The sequence below is a fragment of the Homo sapiens genome, chromosome 12, assembly GCF_000001405.40.
Source record: "Homo sapiens chromosome 12, GRCh38.p14 Primary Assembly".
In the NCBI taxonomy this organism is placed as follows: domain Eukaryota; kingdom Metazoa; phylum Chordata; class Mammalia; order Primates; family Hominidae; genus Homo; species Homo sapiens.
Genome location: NC_000012.12, coordinates 95,410,388 through 95,429,081, shown reverse-complemented (window position 1 = coordinate 95,429,081; position 18,694 = coordinate 95,410,388). Strand labels below are relative to the sequence as shown.

Here is an 18,694-nt window from a genome sequence, read left to right as displayed (position 1 = left end):
AGGAGAATCGCTTGAGCCTGGGAGGCGGAGATTGCAGTGAGCTAAGATTGCGCCACTGCACTCCAGCCTGGGTGACAGAGCTAGACTCTATCTCAAAAATAAATAAATAAATAAATAAATAAAAGAGAGAAGGACTCTGTTGTCCTCTCTTTGTAATCCATGTAGTGCAGTGCCCCCACCATGCTATCTTGATGACCGCTATAGTTTAGATGTTTGTCCCCTCCAAACTTCATGTTAAAATTTGATCTCCAGTGTCAGAGATGGGACCTAATGGGAGGTGTTTGGGTTATGGGTGCAGATCCTTCATGAATAGACTAATGCCCTCCCTCCGGGATGAGTGTGTTCTCACCCGATTAGTTCCTAGGAGAGCTGGCTGTTAAAAACAGCCTGACACCTCCCCACTCTCTCTCTCGCTTCCTCTCTCATCATGTGATCTCTGCGTACACAGGCTTCCCTTTGCCTTCTGCCAGGAGAGGAAGCAGCCTTAGGTTCTCACCAGATGAAAGTGCCCAATTGTAAACTTTCCAGCCATCAGAATTATGAGCAAATAAACCTTTATTCTCTATAAATTACCCAGCCTCTGGTATTCCTTTATAGCAACACAAAATGAACTAAGATGATTACCTTCCTAGATTTTATTTATTCATTTATTTATTGAGACAGAGTCACTCTGTCACCCAGGCTGGAGTGCAGTGGTGCTATCTCAGCTCACTGCAACCTCTGCCTCCTGGGTTCAAGCAATTCTCTTGCCTCAGCCTACTGAGTAGCTGGGATTACAGGTGCCTGCCACCATGCCTGGCTAATTTTTGTGTTTTTTGTAGAGACAGGGTTTTGCCACGTTGGCCAGGCTGGTCTCGAACTCCTGACCTCAAGCGATCTTCCCGCCTTGACCTCCCAAAGTGCTGGGATTACAGGTGTGAGCTACCGTGCCCGGCACCTTCCTAGATTTTATTGTGTCAACTATCTAGAGGCTTGGAGACACCATTGATGCTGTTCAGTAAAATATATGCTTGGGATATAAATGTTCTGTATCCAACTCATGGCTCTTGTCTTGAAGGAGAATTGTATCAGAGCAAGGCTTGAACTCACTCAATTCAGCTATCTGGTCCTAAATGATTCATTCTTTGTAATACTTTTTTTTTTCTGCCAACACTTGAAAATGTAAGATTATTCTACTACTTGTTGAGCAAATATGTACTAGAGAAACAGCAGTGAACAAGATAAAGTCTCTGCTTCGTGGAGACTTCAGTGGAGTAGAGGGAAACAAATAAAAAAGTAAATATAGGACAACAAATAGTGGTATGTGGAGTGCAATAAAGCAGGATTAAGGAAATGGGACTGATGCTTTTTTATATACAGTGTTCAAATGGCCTTATTCTACAGTAATATTTGAATGAAACTTGGTGGATATGAGGGCCTATGGGATGTGTAGGAAGGACATATCCTTGGTATGTTTGAGGACAGCAAGGGGGCCAGTGTGACTGAAGCATAATGTATTGAGAGAGGATAGTAGGATATATAATAAAAATCAGAGGAAGGGGAAAGGGTCAGATTATGAAAGACCTCGGAGGCCACTGTTATACAAGTTTTTTTTTTTTTTTTTTTTTTGTTGTTGTTGTTTGAGACAGAGTCTCACTCTGTCACCCAGGCTGCAGTGCAGTGACACAATCTCGGCTCACTGCAACTTCCACCTCCCAGGTTCAAGCGATTCTCCTGCCTCAGCCTCCTGAGTAGCTGGGATTACAGGCACATGCCACCATGCCTGGCTCATTTTTGTATTTTTAGTGGAGATGAGGTTTCACCATGATGGCCGGGCTGGTCTTGAACTCCCGACCTCAAGTGATCCACCCACCTTAGCCTCCCAAAATGCTGGGATTACAAGCTTTTACACTGAGTGGGATTAGAGTCTGAGCAAAGAGGGGCATGACTTAATCTGAGTAAAGACCTGGCTCCTGTGTTGAGATTCCATTTTAAAGAGTGGAGAAATGGTCAGAAAAAAGACCAGGTATGAGGTTATCTATAGTAATGATCCTTGAGGGATGATGGTAGGTCAGCCAACAGTGAAAGAAGGTAATGAGATTGCATTTCAGATATAGTTTACTGATTAGACTAGGGGATGGATACAGGGTGTGAGAGAAAGCGAGGAGTCAAAGAAAACTCCAGAGCTTTTGGCCTGAGCAATTGGAAGAATGGAGATTCCATTTATTGAAGTAAATAAGAACTAAAGGAAAACTCATTTGGAGAGGAAAACCAAGAGTTCAGTTTTGAACATGTTGGATTATTTAAATATGAGATACCTATAAGATACATTATATAGGAAGTAAGATATTTAAGTCTGGAGTGCAGATGAGATGTCAAAGCTGGAAATACACATTTGTGAGTTGTCAGATGGTTTTTAAAGCCAGTGAATTGGCTGGGCGCAGTGATTCATGCCCATAATCCCAGCACTTTGGGAGGCCGAGGCGGGTGGATGGCTTGAGGCCAGGACTCCAAGATCAGTCTGACCAACATGGTGAAACCCTGTCTCTACTAAAACTACAAAAATTACCCAGGCGTGGTGGTGCACATCTGTAATCCCAGCTACTCGGGAGGCTGAGGCAGGAAAATCGCTTGAACCTGGGAGGTGAAGGTTGCAGTGAGCCAAGATCACGCCACTGCACTCAAACCTGGTTGACAGAGTGAGACTCCATCTCAAAAAAAAAAAAAAAAAAACCACTGAATTGGAGAAGATCATCCAGGGAGTATAGGTAGAGAAGAAAACAAAAGAGGCCTGACGGGGAGAAGTCGACCCATGGGTGAAACCAGTGAAGAGCTGGAGAAGGAATAACCAGTGAGGGAAGAAAACCAAGAGAAAGTGGTGTCCCGGAAACCAAGTGAGGAAAGAATTTCGATTGTGTCAAATGCTATATGGGGATTGTATTATGAGTTGGGGGCTGAATAGTGACCTTTGGATGATGCGTTATAAAAGACTCCAGTGACCTTAAAAGAGGTTTATCTGTGAAGTGGTAGAAAAGTAGACTGGGTTGAATAGAGAAGGAAATCAACTTTCAGAGTTTTCTCGTATACCACTTCACACTCGTTAGGATGGCTATTATTTTAAAACAAAACAAAACAAGAAGTATTGGTGAGGATGTGGGGAAGTTGGAACGCTTGAGCATTGCTGGTGGGAATTTAAAATGGTGCAGATGGTGTGGAAAATGATATGACAGACCCTCAAAAAATTCAACATTGAGGCCGGGCACAGTGGCTCACGCCTGTAATGCCAGCACTTTGGGAGGCCAAGGCGGGCATCACTTGAGGTCAGGAGTTTGAGACCAGCCTGGTCAACATGGCAAAACTCTGTCTCTACTAAAAATTAAAAATACAAAAATTAGCCAGGTGTGGTGGCGGACATCCACAATCCCAGCTACTCGGGAGGCTGAGGCAAGAGAATTGCTTGAACCCGGGAAGCAGAGGTTCCAGTGAGCCAAGATCGTGCCACTGCACTCAAGCCTGGGCGACAGAGTGAGACTCCATCTCAAAAAGAAAAAAAAAAATTAAACATAGAATTACCATATGATCTATCAATTTCACTTCTAGGTATAAACTCAAAGAAGTGAAAGCAAAGACTCAAAACAGATGTTGTACACCCATGTTCACAGCAGCTTATTCACAGTAGCCAAAAGGTGGAAGCAACCCAGGGTCCATTGACAGTTGAATAGATAAACAAAATGTGGTATATCCATACAATGGATGATTACTCACTTTTAAAAAGGAAGGAAATTTTACAGCATGCTACAACATGGGTGAACCTTGAAGACATTATGCTAAGCAAAATAAGCCAGTCGCAAATGGACAAATATCATATGATTCCTCTTATATGAAGTCCATAGATTAGTTAAATTCATAGAGACAGGAAGTAGAATGGCGACTGTCAGAGAGGCTGGAGGAAACGGGGAATGGAGAGTTAGTATTTAATGGGTGCAGAGTTTACATTTCACAAGATGAAAATGGTCTGGGGGTGGATGGCAGTGATGGTTGTTCAACAATATGGATGGACTTAATGCTATAGAAATGTGTATTTTAAAATGGTTAACATGGTAAACTTACTGTTGTGTATATTTGATCACAATTTTTTTTTTTTAAAAAGAGTTTTAAAAAAGAGGGAGCAAACAGCCTGGCCAACATGGTGAAACCCCATCTCTACCAGAAGTACAAAAATTAGCTGGGTGTGGTGGCAGGTGCCTGTAATTCCAGCTACCTGGGAGGCCGAGGCATGAGAGTCACTTGAACTCGGGAGGCGGAGGTTGCAGTGAGCCGAGATCATGCCACTGCACTCCAGCCTGGGCCACAAGAGTGAGACTCTGTCTCAAAAAAAAAAAAAAAGGTCCTAAAAGGTTATGGAGGAAGGAACTGAAGAAACTTGTAGAAGGAGATTGCTGGTCACATAGCTAAGGGAGGGTCAGCTGGAGTCTCACCTTCCTTTAGCCTCTGCATTCCAGATTCAGACCCTGTGCTTCTAAGGGCCCAGAGATGGCTCTTATCAAAGACTAAGGTAATCAGGACCTGAGATATGGACTCGAGCCAAGCAAAATATTTGTGAGACTGGGAAGGCCTGTGGGTGCCAAGTCATGAATTAATTTCTGATTGTTTTGAAAAAAGTCTCTAGGGAGGCACAGTACTTACATACTCTTGGGTCAGCAGCACATTCTATCTCCCGGAGTAGGCCAGATCTTCATTGCAATCACTTTGGTAGCAGAGTTAAACATTCAGAATTCAGTGGGCCATATCAAAAGTGAACCGCTTTGGCACAAGGAGCGCCAAAACAATCCCTTGACTGGAACTCTCAGGATAGCAGTGGCCATGGAGTCTGTTCCCTTTTATAGAAATTTCACATTCGTATAAATACTAGTGTGAAGTACTAGTATAGATACAGCATAGCTCTTTATCTCTCTAGATGTGTTAATACCACTGCCCTGTCACAGCCTTAACATAACGACAGGAGGAACCAACTTAAATGATATTTCTACAGCAATGCAGCCCATCCTTTTTTTTTTTTTTTTTTTTGAGACAGAGTCTCACTCTGTCACCCAGGCTGGAGTGGAGTGGCATGATCTCCACTCACTGCAACCTCTGCCTCCTGGGTTCAAGCGATTCTCCTGTCTCAGCCTCTCAAGTAGCTGGGACTACAGGCCCGCGCTGCCACGCCCAGCTAATTTTTTTATTTTTAGTAGAGACGAGGTTTCACCATGTTGGCCAGGATTATCTCGATCTCTTGACCTAGTGATCCACCCATCTCGGCCCCCCAAAGTGCTGGGATTACAGGTGCAGCCCATACTTTTTTAAAAAAAAACCTTCTTTAAAAATTTTTTTGAGACAAGGTATTGCTCTGTCACCCAGGCTGGAGTACAATGGCATGATCGTAGTTCACTGTAACCTAGAACTCCTGGGCTCAAGCAATCCTCCCACCTCAGCCTCCCCAATAGCTGAGACTACAGGCGCACACCACCACACCCAGCTAATTAAAAAAAATTTTTTTTTGTAGAGATGAGGTCTTGCTATGTTGCCCAGGCTGGTCTTGAACTCCTGGGCTCAAGCAATCCTCCCACTTCAGCCTCCTTAAGTGCTAGAATTACAGGCATGAGCCACTACGCCCGGACCCATTTTTTAAGAGAAACCTGGAATGTAAATGTTTGCAGCATACTTCTAGTCCTCAAATGCTGGCAATAAATCCAATTTTTTTTTTTTTTTTGAGACAGACTCTCGCTCTGTTGCCCAGGCTGGAGTGCAGTGGCACGATCTTGGCTCACTGCAAGCTCTGCCTTCGGGGTTCATGCCATTCTCCTGCCTCAGCCTCCTGAGTAGCTGGGACTACAGGCTCCCACCACCACACCTGGCTAATTTTTGTATTTTTTTTTAGTAGTGATGGGGCTTCACCATGTTGGCCAGGTTGGTCTCGAACTCCTGACCTCAAGTGATACACCGCCTTGGACTCCCAAAGTGCTGGGATTACAGGACAGAGCCACTGCTCCTGGCTGCCTCTAGGTTTTTTACAGTTAAAATTAAGTTTACTATTTTTCTCTCCAAAAATTGATGCCATTCTCAGATGCTAGAAACATTTGCAAATACCAACCCCAGGAATATAAATAAAGGCTTAGTAATCTGAAATCTTTACTGATTGTAACTTCAGAAAACTTGATAGTTTTCAGGAAAAATGAGTGAGTGAAGCAGCTCTGTGCAATTAAAGAAGGATGAAGAACCTCATCTGAGATTAGCACTATGCAATGAAGAGCCCTGGGAGACCCAGCTTTTCTCCCAAGAATGAAACTTTATATTCAGGACTTGACGATTAAAAGAACTGATATTTTCAATAATAAAATCATATTCACTTATAGTATTCCACAGATCACAGGGAGCTTTCTAGCTATTGTCTAGTTTAGTCATCCTGATATCACTGTGGGATGATAATAGAATTTAGAATTTCTTTTTTCTTTTTTTCTTTTTTGAGACAGAGTCTTGCTCTGTTGGCCAAGCTGGAGTGCAGTGGTGCAACCTCAGCTCACTGCAACCTTCGCCTCCCAAGTTCAACCAATTCTTGTGCCTTAGCCTCCCAAGTAGCTGGGATTACAGGCGTGAGCCACTATGCCTGGCTTTTTTTTTTTATTCCAGGCTGGAGTGCAGTAGCACAATCTTGGCTCACTGCAGCCTCAAACTCCTGGGCTCAAGTGATCCTCCCACCTCAGCCTCCCAAGGAGCTGGGACCAGAGATATGTGCCACCATGTCTGGCTAATTTTTAAATTTTTTTGTAGAAACAGGGTCTTGCCATGTTGCCTAGGCTGGATTTCCATTTCATTGAGGAAGAAAACTGAGATTCCAAGGGGCCGAGTAACTTTCCCAAAGTCATATGATTGCTGATAGAGCCATGACCCCAACCCTGGTCTCCTGACTCCCGGGATAATGTTCTTTCTGTAACTTTATCCCTAATTCTCATTCTGCTTGCATATAATGAAAATAATATTAGCAATAATAAATGGTAGTTGTAGTTTTCCCTACAACAACCCCTCTGAGATACGGAAGTAACCTCATCAGTGGTTAAGCCTTTGCTTTTAGAATTCCTGGACTCAAATCCTGGCCTTGGCACTTGCTAGTGATACAATTTTGAACATGTTACTTAGCCTTTCTTTGTCCCAGTGTCATTGTCTGTAACATGGTGCTACGAATGGTGCTTCCTCCAGGGTTGTTCTGAATATTAAGTAAGTCAACACTAAGGCATTTGGAAAAGTATCTGAACATAGTGGATATTACATGTGTTTATTGTTACTATTATCCCCATTGTCTCATATGACCCTCATTGTTACCCTTGGTTATATAGGTATTAATATTGGTACCTGACGGCTCATGAGGCCCATTACATTTGCTTTTACAAGATAATTTCAGCAATAAGTTTTTTACTTTAAAGAACAAGCTGGCCAGGCATGGTGGCTCACGTCTGTAATCCCAGCACTCTGGGAGGTTGAGGCAGGCAGATGGCTTGAGGTCAGGAGTTTGAAACAAGCCTGGGCAATGTGGTAAAACTCCATCTCTACAAAAAATACAAAAATTAGCTGGGCATGGTGGTGTGCACCTGTAGTCCCAGCTACTCAGGAGGCTGAGGCAAGAGGATCAGTTGAGTCCAGGAGATTGAGGCTACAGTGAGCTATAATTGTGCCACTGCACTCCAGCCTCGATGACAGAGAGAGACTCTGTCTCAAAAAATAAAAAAATAAAAAATAAAACAATTTTACTATCACAGAAAGTTTTAGGAGATAACATATTTGTAAAACAGGTCCACCATCAAATAACTAGTAGATAAATTAAGCTTAAAAATTAAGACACATTTACTAGAATGGCTATAATTGGAAAGATAGGCAATAATAAGTGTTAGACAAGATATGGAGAAATTGGGGCCCTCATACATTGCTGATAGGAATGTAAAATAGTACAGCTGTTTTGGAAAACAGTTTGGCAGTTCCTCAGAAAATTAAACAGAGAGCACATGACCTAGCAATTCTGCTTCCAGGTTCATATGCAAGAAAATTAAAAACATGTCCAGATAAAATCTTTTTTTTTTTTTTTTTGAGATAGAGTTTCGCTCTTGTTGCCCAGGCTGGAGTGCAATGGCTCGATCTCGGCTCACTGCAACCTCTGCCTCCCGGGTTCTAGCAGTTCTCCTGCCTCAGCCTCCCAAGTACCTGGGATTAACGGGTATGCGCTACAACGCCCGGCTAATTTTGTATTTTTAGTAGAGACAGAGTTTCTCCATGTTGGTCAGGCTGGTCTTGAACTCCTGGCCTCAGGTGATCCGCCAGCCTTGGCCTCCCTAAGTGCTAGGATTACAGGCATGAGCTACTGTATCCGGCCACATGAAATCTTATAAACAAATGTTTATAACAGCATCATTCATGGTAACCAAAATGTGTAAATAACCAAAATGCCTGTCAGTTGAAAAATGGATAAATAAAATGTGGTATATCCATGCAATAGAATATTATTCGCTCATAAAAGGGAATGAATGAGGCCAGGCACAGTGGCTCATGCCTATAATTTCAGCACTTTGGGAGACCAAGATGGGAAGATTGCTTGAGACCAGGAATTCAGGACTAACCTGGGAAACACAGTAAGACCCTGTCTCTACAAAAAAAAAAAAAAAAAAGCCAGGTGTGGTGGCATTGCCTGTAGTTGCAGATACTCAGAAGGCTGAGGTGGGAGGATCAATTGAGCCCAGGAGTTTAAGGCTACAGTGAGCCATGATCATGCAACTGCACTCCAGCATTGGCCACAGAGTGAGACCCTTTCTCAAAAAAAGAAAAGGAATGAATGAAATACTGATATATGATACAACATAGATGAACATTGAAAACATTATGCTAAGTGGAAAAGGCAAGTCACAAAAGGACACATATTGTATGATTGCATTTCTTTTTTCTTTTCTTTTTTTTTTTTTTTTTTGAGACGGAGTCCCGCTCCGTCTCCCAGGCTGGAGTGCAGTGGCGCGATCTCAGCTCACTGCAACCTCCACCTCCCAGGTTCAAGCGATTCTCTTGCCTCAGCCTCCCAAGTAACTGGGACTACAGGCACCTACCACTATGCCCGGCTAACTTTGTATTTTTAGTAGAGAAGGGGTTTCACCATGTTGGCTAGGCTGGTCTCGAACTCCTGACTTCAGGTGATCCGCCTGCCCCAGCCTCCCAAAGTGCTGGGATTACAGGCATGAGCCACCATGCCCAGCGTATGATTGCATTTCTATGAACTTTCCAAAAAAGGCAAATCCATAGAAACAGGATGTGGATTAGTGGTTTCTAGGCTTTGGGGTGAGAGGGAATTGAGGAGTTACTGCTAATAGGTATGGGGTTTCTTTTGGGGGGTAATAGAAATATTCTGGAATTAGATAGTGGTGATGGTTATACAACTTTGTGAACGTACTAAAAAACCACTGAATACTTTAAAAGGGTGACTGTCAGGCAGGCACAGTGGCTCATGCCTGTAATCTCAGTACTTTGGGAGACAGAGGTAGGAGGATTGCTTGAGTCTAGGAGTTTGAGACCAGCCTGGGCAACATAGTGAGACCCTGTCTCTATAAATAAATCAATAAAAATAAATAAGTAATGGATGCCATGGCTCACACATATAATCCCAGCATTTTGGGAGGCCAAGGTGGGAGGATCACTTGAGCCCAGGAGTTAGAGACCAGTCTGGGCAACATAGTGAGACCCCTGTCTCTCTTTAAAAAAAAAAATTAATTAAAAAAAAGTGGAGAAGCTCCGTAATACTTAAAATAAATAAATAAATAAATAAAATGGTGAGTTTACAGTATGTGAATTATAACCTAAGTTTTAAAGTATGAGAAAAAAAGGAAAAAGAATAAAAGCCTATGAAAACAAAATAAACTGTGGTATTCCAATTCAAATAGACAGCATTTATAATAAAAACTTTTTCCATCCTGGCTAACATGGTGAAACCTTGTCTCTACCAAAAATACAAAAATTAGCCGGGTGTGGTGGCGGGTGCCTGCAGTCCCAGCTACTCAGGAGGCTGAGGCAGGAGAATGGCCTGAACCCGGGAGGCGGAGCTTGTAGTGAGCCGAGATCGCGCCACTGCACTCCAGCCTGGGCGACAGAGCGAGACTCTGTCTCAAAATAAATAAATAAATAAAAATAAAAACTTTTTAAGCCAAGAGACAGAATTCATAATCTCTAAAACTCCAGGCTCTGGAGGTGTTTTGGAATCTGTAGCGAGCATATAAGGGGGTGGCTGTTCCAGCCTGACCAACATGGAGAAACCCCTTCTCTACTAAAAATACAAAATTAGCCGGGTGTGGTGGCACATGCCTGTAATCCCAGCTACTCGGGAGGCTGAGGCAGGAGAATCGCTTGAACCAGGGAGGCGGAGGTTGCAGTGAGCCGAGATCGTGCCATTGCACTCCAGCCTGGGCAACAAGAGCGAAACTCCGTCTCAAAAAAAAAAAAGGGGGGTGGTGGCTGTTGCTTAAACCAAGAACCTTAGTGATTCTTGCAGAGTTTGAATGGAACATGGGCTTTTAGACTCCAAACCCTAGGCTAAATATATTCCATTCTTTTTGCTTCCCTTTATCCAGTGTGTGTGATTACAACAGCTGGCGATGGTTTAGGTTTCTGTAAAAGGGGAGCGAGGGAAAGAAAGAGAAAAACAGCCTTCCTGGAGGAATAGTCTTACCCAGCCTGTTGAGTTTTCTGTGGCCAACTCTGCCCCTGCAACAATAATGTGACTGTGAGTTGGGAGAGGAGTTTATTTTTGTCCTCATGATCTCTCAGGACCTGGCTTCTTGGCATTCTATCAGTGACTAAAAACAGATAGGCTCAGCAGTGCATAGGAAGTCCCAGGAATAGGAAATTTACATGTTTTTGTTTGTTTGTTTTATTGGTTGGTTGGTGCTTTCTTACATTTCTAATTTAGTGTTTTCCTTTTATAGATCCATGCTCTCTTTCTTCTCTCTCTCTGTCTCTCTTTTTTTCTGTTTGTTTTTTTGGGACAGTCTCGCTCTGTTGCCCAGGTTGTAATGCACAGGCGCCATCTCGGCTCACTGCAACCTCCACCTTCCGGGTTCAAGCAATTCTCCTGCTTCAGCCTCCCAAGTAGCTGGGATTACAGCACACACCACCATGCCCTGCTAATTTTTGTATTTTTGTAAAGACGGGTTTTCACCATGTTGGCCTGGCTGGTCTCAAACTCCTGACCTCAAGTAATCTACCTGACTCGGCCTCCCAGAGTGCTGGGATTATAGGCATGAGCCACTGTGCCCGGCCAACTAATCACTTTCTTCATGGCAATGATGAACTTGATAGTTATGAGCACCAGGGGGCTAAGGAAGCACTGAATATTGTCTCTGGGTATATTTTTAACTTTTATAACAGCCAGTATAGAGGGCATGGTGGGTAGAACCACATTATTGGAGCTAGAAAGACTCTAAAAGTTTTCGAATCTCAGCTCTACTGCCAACCAGTTCTGTGAATGTGGGGAAATCTAAATCTTGATTTCAACATCTGTAAAGTGAGGATGACTAAGGGTAGAATGTTGTTGGGAGAATTAAATGATAGCATGCGTATAATTTTCTTGTATTATTTCTTTTGATGCAACCTATTTGTTATGGGAATCTGGACTTATGGACCTCCTAATTCATTTCTAAACTTTAAAAGGCTCTCATGAGTTTTGCTTTCTCTTCAAATGTGTCTTTTTTTTCTTTTATACAGCTTATAAAATATTTTTTTCTCCATAGGATGAATTCATTCTACTTCATAGATTTAATATAGTTTCTTGCTTTAGATTTATAGTTTAGCACAAAACTTAATAATGACACAGAGGGGCATTGTATCCTGGAAGCCTTTATGTGGGTGTGTGTGTGTGCTTTTACTGTTACTCAATTGCTAAAAGAAGGAACAAAAATAAAACATGAATCCTTTATGAGTAGCCTCATGTGGAAGGGCAGTTCTTAGAACAAAAGCATAAACAAACAGTCTTTTAATAAATCAAGAAATTATGCAGCCAAGTTTTTAGTTTAGAAGGCAGATTCATTTCCAGAGCAAATAATACACATTTTTTCTTTTTGAGATGGAGATATGCTGTGTCGCCAGGCTGGAGTGCAGTGGCATGATCTTGGCTCACTACAGTCGCCGCCTCCCAGGTGTGATCCTCCCACCACAGCCTCCTGAGTAGCTGGGGCTACAGATGTGTGCCACCACGCCTGGCTAATTTTTGTATTTTTGTAGAGACAGGGTTTCATCATGTTGGCCAGGCTGGTCTCAAACTCCTGACCTCAAGTGATCCTCCTGCCTCGGCCTCCCAAAGTGCTGGGATTACAGGCATGAGCCACTGTGCCCGGCCTCACAGATGCTAAGTACTCAGGCTGGTTAATGGGAGAGTCAAAAACAGAACTCAAGTCTATTGACTGCTGAGAATGTGTTTTCTCTGGTAGATGGGAATCTGTCTGAAACTGGGAGAAGCTAAAGAGCCTTATCTGTAGGTCCACACAGTACGTAGGGATTCTTGAAAGGCCTCAAATACTTGAGACGCCATCATAAAGTTTTTTTTTTTTTTAAGAGATGGGATCTCACTATGTTGCCCAGGCTGGTCTCGAACTCCTGGGCTCAAGCAATCTGCCACCTTGGCCTCTTGAAGTGCTGGGATTACAGGCGTGAGCCACTGGGCTCAGCCCACCATCATAGAGACTTAATTACTTAAGGTTAAAGCTTCGATCCCATTTCAGTGCAAATCCCCTTGAGGAGAGGTTATTCTTAGGCTGATGATTTGCATACTTTGACACAAATGGATTTTGGTTCCTTTTACACATAGGCTTTGGTAGACTGATGGCTGGGCAGGATTTACACAGTGAGTACTGAACTGGTATAAATTTTGAAATATCCCTTTTCTCTTTGTTTGTTTATTTATTTATATTCTTTTTGTATTTAATATGTGTGTCTTCTTTTTTAAGGTTGGATCTTTCAACATCCTTACTCAAAATGGGAAATTCTGAAGTGGAAGACAGTCCCCAGTATAGCTGTGAAGAGACTACAAGTAGCCATAATTCAAATGTAGGAAGCCCTCCATAGTCTTTATAATCATAGACTTTTATAAAGCATATGGTTTGATGGGCAAGAAGAAACGCAGAGCATGTGGCCCCCCAGACAAGTCACCTTATCACGATACCTGCCTATTGTATCTGTAATATGAAAACATATATACACAGCTGCACACACAAACTCCTCTCTTCCTGGTAACTTATGGGAAATTCACTATATGGCACATGAACTTATCAGTGCATCAGCCTTGTTAGGTGACTGGTACAGGATTATATGTGAAAATAGTGGGGAGTAAAAACAAACAAAAAAGGAAAGTAGTGGGGAGGAGGGAAGGAAGAAAAGAGGAAGCCAGGGAAAGAAAAGTCAGTTGTAGGCAAAGCACCGTTCTAAGAAAACATAAATCCAGTCCCTATATTCAAGGAACTTATCTCCTAGAATGGGAAACTAAGCATTTCAGCAAGCTAACAATCAACAGAGGACAAATCAAATAATCAGGAGGTAACAATAGAAACCACTGACAAAATATCTAGTCTGTGCTAGACAGCAGACCTGATGCTTTAAATAGGTCATGTATACTCCTCACAAAAACCCCATGAGACAGGTATGATGACCCCACTTTACAGATGGTACCGATGTACCATAAAGTGTGGCCATTTGTTCACAGTGATACAGCTAGAAAAAGGCAGAGCCAGAGGTAAAACCCAGCTTTATGTGACTCCTAAGTCCATTTATTTATTTTTCTTTTTTATTTATGTTATTATTTTTAGAAACAGAGTCCTGCTCTGTCCCCCAGGCTGGAGTGCAGTGGCACAGCATGGCTTACTGTCATCTAAAACTACTGGGCTCTAGTGATCCTCCTGCCTCAGCCTCCTGGGTAGCTGGGACTACAGGTGTGTGCCATTACACCCAGTTAATTTTAAAATTTTTTATAGAGATAGGGTCTTGCTATGTTGCCCAGGCTGGTCACAAACTCCTGGGCTCAAGTGATCTTCCTGCCTTGGCCTCCCAGGGTGTTGGGATTACAGGTGTGAGCCACTTTGCCCGGCCCATTTTTCACCATGAATTGTTTCTACTCCAGTTCTTCACCTAGCATCTGGTGTGAAAAAAACCACTTATCGCTTTTCAGGGTGTATTTTAAACATAAAGATGCTTGGTATTTAAATTTTTCAAAAATTTAGAAAGGTGTCAGAAAGAAATTAAAATCACACAATATTATCACCAAGAGAATACCGTTTCAACATTTTGGCATATTTTCTTCCAAACTTTTCTCCAATATACATACACACACACCCCACGCATACATATAGTGAATATATACTATGTATTTGTGTGTGTGTGTGTATATATATATATATATAATATACTTATTTTTTGAATAACATTTTTGTCCTGCTTTTTTATTCTTTCACTTGATCATTAGCATTTTCCTGTGATATTAAGTTCTTCAGAAAAAAGATTTTGAATGGCTGCTTTGAATTCCATTGCATGGATGGTCTATGATTTTTTTGAACCATTCTCCTATTATTGAACATTTATGTTTGTACAACTATCCTACATTTTTTTTGTTTCTTTGGGTCCTTCCTAAAGCTAGATTTCTCAAAGTGAAATTTTGTTAAAGGATATGAACATTTTTAAGGCTCTAGAGATGTACCACAAAATCGCTTTTCAAACAAAAATGCCAGCTAACTTTTCATAGCAAAGTATGAGAGATCCCATTGCAGCATTCTTTTTTTTTTTTTTTTTTTTTAAGAAATGCAGTCTTGCTCTGTTGCCCACGCTGGTCTCGAACTCCTGGCCTTAGGCCATCCTCCTGCTTCAGCCTCCCAAAATACTGAGATGACAGGCATGAGCCACCGCGTGCAGCTCCATCACAGCATCCTTAGCACTGAACAGAATTAACATGCTTGTTCAACTTTGCAAAATTGGTAGGCAAAAAATACTCTTTTAAGTGTCTATTTCTTTAATAATTAGAGAGATTTAACTTTGTATTTCTTGATCTTTTAAGAAATTTCTGGCTGGGCACAGTGGCTCACACCTGTAATCCTAGCCCTTTAGGAGTAGGTAGCATATTTTAATGGAAAGAAAACCAAACTTGCAGGGAGTGTACAGGAAGTGTGTGTGTTTTCTGCTTTATTTTGCTATGAACCTAAAACTGTTCTGAATAATGAAGCATTTTTTTTATTTGAAAGAATGTAAAACCCCAGTTGAGGTCAGAACACTCAGGTTCCTTAGTCAATGGGTGCGGGATCTTGTGTAAGTTACTTGGACTCCCTGAACCTCAATGTCTTCAGTCAGTTAGGGAAAATAACATGTCTCTGTTTAGTACTGCGGGTTATAAAGCTGAAATCAACACAATATACATAAACATGTTTTGTAGACACTAAAGCACTAAGCAAGTAAAAGGTATTTTAAAAATAATAACGTAATACCATCAGAGGTTGTTTCTTTTTTTTTTTTTTTTTTTTGAGACGGAGTCTCGCTCTGTCACCCAGGCTGGAGTGCAGTGGCATGATCTTCGCTCACTGCGACGTCCCCCTCCCAGGTTCAAGCAATTCTCCTGCCTCAGTCTCCCAAGTAGCTGGGATTATAGGCATGCACCACCATGCCCAGCTAATTTTTGTATTTTTAGTAGAGACAGGGTTTCACCATGTTGGCCAGGCTGGTCTTGAACTCCTGACCTCAAGTGATCCACCCCCCTCACCCTCCCAAAGTGCTGGGATTACAGGCATGAGGCACTGTGCCCGGCCCAGAGGAGCTTTCTTGAAACAAGTGGGTTTAGAACCAAGAAGAGATGGCTTGACAGAGATGATGATAGAGGAGGAGAGTTTAGCTGGCACACAGCAGCAGGGATGAGTAAGAGGCCATTATACATGACCCATAATAACAAACTCTCACGGCAGTGGTTTTTTAATGAGATTTGCTGAAGTTGCTAGAATTCATTCCCAAGGGATCTGTCATGCGTAGACTCCAAGCTTTAAAAACAGCACATGTAATTTTATGTGTATGATGAAACATTTCTGTAAGAAAAGCAGCAAAATCTTAACATCCCCAGGTTACTGGCATTAGAAATACCATGGAGATTAAATTAATACTTGCTGGATGAATTGCAATTTTAGGCAAATCAGAACTTTCAGCCTAGTTACCCTACCAAATTTCTATGTTTGCTCAACATGGAACATTATAGAACTTTACTATTAAGTCAGGCCCAGGGAGATTAAGGGCAGGAAAAAAGACAGAAGCTTCTCTAACTCCAGGGGCAAGTCTACCCTGGGATAGACTCTGTGGATTTATCACAAGAAGTCTGGTCTGACAAACATAGTGAAACTATCCCAGACCAGTTCCCAAGGTACTTCTGAAAGCAGAGCTCATTCCCCAGGAAGGGTCTATGTGGACCTTCTGTCTGGTGCTGAATCAGATCTCTGGTCTGTAATTGATGACACTCAAGTTCTCTGATTTTAGTCATATTCACTGTTGCAGCATGGCGGTGCAAAGCAGGGGAATTCTGGGCTTGCTTCTAATCCTGATCCTACTATTCTTTAGGTGTGCGACCAGGGATATAAGAGTCAATATAGCATAAAGGTTTAGAACCCAGGCTCTGGAGTCCACATGACTCTCATTTGCCAATCATGGGATTTGAGACATTTAGCTTCTCAAAGCTCTACTTTCCTCGTGTAAAATGGGAATCCTAATAGAATCTGCCTCATAGGGTTATTGAAAGCATTAAATGAAATCATAAGCTAAATACCTTAGCACAGTCTCTAGAGTATAGCAAATGTTTGATAAGCAGTTAACTATTATGTTGCAATTATTGTTCCCTTTTCTGCATTTGGCTCCCTCATCTGTAAAATGGGATTAGATATTCTCCAAGCATCCTTCAGCTCTTACATTCAACGAGTGCCCCTACCATATTGAATTTAGCTTACTATTAGATTAGAGCCAATCTGAGATAAAGATTGGCTTTGAGATGTAGTTTGAGATTTGAGATATAGTTCCTTTTTGAGATGTAGTTCCCTTTTATTCCAGCCTCTGTCTTAGAGGGCTAGAACAATTGGGTAACTTGTGAGTTAGAGAATGACTGTTCCGTAAGACCTGAAAATGGCTTTCCCTGGGAATGACCAGCTGCCTGAAACTTCCAAGAAACCATTTTGTGCAAGTATTAGGGTACCTTTGACAAATGAATAAACTTGGTGATAATTGTCACCTGTTGGAGAATCCAGGGATCAACTTCTGGCCCTCAGGCAAGAGGAAAGCAGGACAACTACCACTGTCAACCTTGAGAAAAGGCAGAGAAAAGGCCGTCTTTGTTGGCACGCCAGGCTGATTGGCCTTGACACAATGACTAAAAGACTCTTTGTCTAGGGCATGTTAAAGGGATTAGAAAAGGAAGCACTGCTTTTAAAAAGGTAATGGGGAACTTTCCCAAATTACAGCTGCCTACTCAACGTATTTGATTAATGTGGCATTTATAGAATGTGAGAGATTTTGCCTGGGTTTTTTTTTTGCACAAGGGCTTTTGTATCTGAATTTTTGGCCTTGTTAGTAGGGAGGGGAAGTGTGCCTTTTTTCTCCCAATGATTATAGGTACTCATACTTTAGAGTACTTAGCTTTCTTTTAAGAATAATCCAAAAGGTCCATTTGTAGAAAGTCAGAAAAATAGAATCCCGTATAGGCACTGAATGAAAGGGCTGTGGTGTAGGCTTGGAAAGTGGTCATTAGGCTTGGGCTTGTAAATATGTGTTGTTAGGCTGACATTCTGCCAGCCTTTGGTGCTTTTCAATGGAGTGGCATGCGTGTGTTCTGGGGTGGGGAAGAGTGGCAATCTATAAGTGCTTTGCTTTTGTCACATTGTTCAAAAATTCTGCCCGCTCACCTCATTTTTGACAGTGGGATACATTTTCATGAGAATATGGGAAAGAAAGGAAGGAGAGTCAGGAGGAGGGAAGCAAGAGAAGAGACAAAAGGGAAGGGAGAGGGGGCAGTTGTTTTAACCAAGCATTTCTATTTTCCAACTACTCAGTGAGTGGCAGATCTGGCCCTTATCCACCCTTCTGGCTCTAGTTCCTTCCCCAACAATGGTGTTGCTATTATACTTTTCCCTGCTTTCTTAATCAGCTGTATTATTTCCAAGTACTTATTCTTTTTTTTTTTTTTTTTTTTTTTTTTTTTTTGAGACGGAGTCTCGCTCTGTCGCCCAGGCCGGGCTGCGGACTGCAGTGGCGCAATCTCGGCTCACTGCAAGCTCCCCTTCCCGGGTTCACGCCATTCTCCTGCCTCAGCCTCCCGAGTAGCTGGGACTACAGGCGCCCGCCACCGCGCCCGGCTAATTTTTTGTATTTTTAGTAGAGACGGGCTTTCACCTTGTTAGCCAGGATGGTCTCGATCTCCTGACCTCATGATCCACCCGCCTCGACCTCCCAAAGTGCTGGGATTACAGGCGTGAGCCACCGCGCCCGGCCCTTATTCTTAATCCTTTAAAAAGTTTCCTTTCAGCATAGCTCTTCCCACTCCCCAAGCCCCACACCCATCCAGTAAATGTGCCACATGTATACACACACACACAAAACACAGAGACCAATTCTCCTCAACACTCCAAATCCTCCTTGACATATGTAAGCTCAATTT

At 42.3% G+C, this 18,694-nt stretch overlaps 1 long non-coding RNA gene across 5 annotated transcripts in view, besides 1 other annotated feature; it reads left to right on the top strand.

Annotated features, from left to right (window-relative positions):
* Positions 1 to 18,694, top strand: part of LOC107984545 (uncharacterized) — a 40,761-nt gene that overhangs the window by 19,618 nt on the left and 2,449 nt on the right. For 4 of the 5 annotated variants that reach the window (XR_001749267.2, XR_001749268.2, XR_001749266.2 and 1 more), the window contains one exon: positions 12,984 to 13,083. This is a non-coding gene — a long non-coding RNA (uncharacterized LOC107984545). Of the gene's footprint in view, positions 1 to 12,844; positions 12,881 to 12,983; positions 13,084 to 18,694 lie in introns of all 5 variants that reach the window. The other variant, XR_001749269.2, reaches the window with a different exon arrangement.
* Positions 17,114 to 17,630: an enhancer, noted in NCBI's record as "NANOG hESC enhancer chr12:95805228-95805744 (GRCh37/hg19 assembly coordinates)". NCBI's record gives its function as "activates a minimal SCP1, AML or CMV promoter by ChIP-STARR-seq in naive H9 embryonic stem cells {active_cell/tissue: H9 hESC(naive)}" and the evidence as "EXISTENCE:reporter gene assay evidence [ECO:0000049][PMID:30033119]".